The sequence below is a fragment of the Homo sapiens genome, chromosome 9 (assembly GCF_000001405.40).
Source record: "Homo sapiens chromosome 9, GRCh38.p14 Primary Assembly".
Taxonomy (NCBI): domain Eukaryota; kingdom Metazoa; phylum Chordata; class Mammalia; order Primates; family Hominidae; genus Homo; species Homo sapiens.
In genome coordinates, this window is record NC_000009.12 from 73,381,985 (window position 1) to 73,384,983 (window position 2,999).

Genomic DNA, 2,999 nt, shown 5'->3' on the forward strand with positions numbered 1-2,999 from the left:
GAAATCAAGGATAGGCTTTTCTATTTCTATAAAAAAAACGATTGTTTCAATTTTGATAAATATTGTGTTGAATTGCTTTGAGTAATAGTCTATTAAATTATTTTTTTAACCTTTGTGGGTACACAGTGGTGTATACATTCATGGAGTACCTGAAATATTTTGGTATAGATATGCATATCATGGAAAATTGGGTATACATTTCCTCAGGCATTTATCCTTTGTGTTACAAACAATTCAGTTATATATTTTTAGTTATCTTTAAATATGCTATTAAATTATTATTGACTATAGTCACCCTGTTAGGCTATCAAATACTGGTTCTTATTCATTCTTTCCATGTTTTGTTTTTGTCTTTTTCCCATTAACCACCCCTACTGCCATCCCATGTTTCCACTAACCTTCCCAGCCTCTGGTAACCATCTTTCTACTCTCTATCTCTCTATCTTCATGAGTTCAATTTTTTTGATTTTTGGACCCCATGAATAAGTGAGAATATGTGAAGTTCATCTTTTTGTGCCTGGCTTATTTCACTTAACATAAGGACTTCCAGTTCCATCCAGGTTGTTGCAAATGACAGAATCTCATTTTTTTTTCTTTATGGCTGAAGAGTACAACACTGTTTATATGTACCACATTTTCTTTATCCATTCATCTGCTGATGGACACTTAGGTTCCTTCTAAACCTTGGCTATTGGGAATGGTGCTGCAGCAAACATGGCAATGCCAATGTCTCTTTGATATACTGACTTTCTTTCTTTTGGGTATATACCCAGCAGTGGGATTGCTGGATCCTGTGATAGCTCTAATTTTAGCTTTTTGAGGAACCTCCAAACTTTTCTCTATAGTGGTCCTACTAATTTACATTCCCACCAACAGTGTACAAGGGCTCCCTTTTCTCCGCATCCTCATCAGCATTTGTTATTTTTATCTTTTTTATAATAAACATTTTAACTGGGGTGAGGTGATATCTCATTGTAGTTTTGATTTGCATTTCTCTGATGATCAATGATGTTGAGCACCTTTTCATATTCCTGTTTGCCATTTGTATGTCTTGTTTTGAGAAATGTCTATTCAAATCTTCTCCCTATTTTTAAATTGAATTATTAGATTTTTTTCCTCTAGAGTTGTTTGAGCTCCTTATATATTATAGTTATTAATCCATTGTCAGATGGGTAGTTTGCAAATATTTTTTTCTTATTCTATGGGTTGTCTCTTCACTTTGCTGATTGTTTTATTTGCTGTGCAGATGTTTTTTACTTGATGTTATCCCACTTGTCCATGTTTGCTTTGCTTGCCTGTGCTTACTGTGTATTACTCAAGAAATATTTCCCCAGATCAATGTCCTGGAGAGTTTCCCTAATGTTTTCTTGTAGTTGTTTCATAGTTTGAGGTCTTAGATTTAAGTCTTTAATCCACTTTGATTTGATTTTTGCATGTGACAAGAGATAGTGGTATTTCTGCATATGGATATTCAGTTTTCTCATCACCATTTATTGAAGAGACTGTCTTTTCTCCAATGTGTGTTCTTGGCACCTTTGTCAAAAATGACTTCACTGTACATGTGTGGAGTTAATTCTCAGTTCTCTATTATGTTTCACTAGCTTATGTATCTGTTTTTATACCTGTACCATGCTCTTTTGGTTGCTATAGCTCTGTAGTATAATTTGAAGTCAGGTAATGTGATTCCTCCAGTTTTGTTCTGTTTGCTTAAGATAGCTATGGCTATTCTGGGTCTTTTGTGGTTCTATGTAAATTTTACAATTATTTTTTCTTTTTCTGTGAAAAATATCATTGGTATTTTGATAGAGATTGCATTGAATGTACTCTGGGTAGTATGGGCATTTCAACAATATTGATTCTTCCAATCCATGAGTGTGGGATATCTTTCCCTCTTTTATTCCTCTTCCATTTCTTTCATCAGCATTTTATAGTTTTTATTGTAAAGATCTTTCACTTTTTTGGTTTATTTTTGTGTTTTAAATTTCATTTGTGGCTATGATAAATTTTTATGAAAGTTTTTACATTTCATTTTCAGATTGTTCACTTTTGGCATATAGAAATGCTACTAATTTTTGTATATTGATTTTGCATCCTGCAACTTTATTGAACTTTTTTTAGTCCTAATAGCTTTTTTGGTGGATTCTTTAGGTTTTTCTAAATATAAGATCCTATCATTTACAAACAAGGATAAATTTGACTTCTTCCTTTCCAGTTTGGATATCCTTTCTTTCTTTCTCTTGTCTGATTGCTCTAGCTAGGACTTCCAGTACTATGTTGAATAACAGTGCTGAAAGTGGGCTTCGTTGTCGTGTTCCAGATCTTAGAGAATGGTATTTTGTTTTTTTCCCATTCAGTATGATACTAGCTGTGGGCGTTTTATATATGGCTGTTATATGTTGAGGTATGTTTGTTCTGTACCCCATTTTTTTGAGGGTTTTAATCATGAAAGGATGTTGAATTTTAACAAATGTTTTTTCAGCATCAACTGAAATGATTATATGGTTTTTGTCCTTCATTCTGTTGATATGATGTAGCAAATTGATTGATTTATGTATGGTGAACCATCCTTGCATCCCCTGGATAAATTCCACTTGATCATGAGGAATGATCTTTCCAATGTATTTATTCAGTTTGCTAGTATTTTGTTGAAGATTTTTGCATCAATGTTCATTAGAGATATTGACCTATAGTTTTATTTTTATGATTTGTCTTTGGTTTTGGTTTCAGGGTAATACTGGCATCATAAAACCAGTTTGAGATTATTTCCTCCTCATCTTTTTTAGAACAGTTTGAGTAGGATTGGTGTTAGTTCTTTAAATATTTGATAGGATTCAGCAGTGAAGGCATTGAATCCTGAGCTTTTCTTTACTAGGAGACTTTTTATTAAAGCTTTGATCTCGTTGCTTGTTATTGGCCTGTTTAAGTTTTGGATTTCTTCATGGTTCAATATTGGTAGGTAGCATGTGTCTAGCAATTTATCTATTTCTTCTAGATTTTCC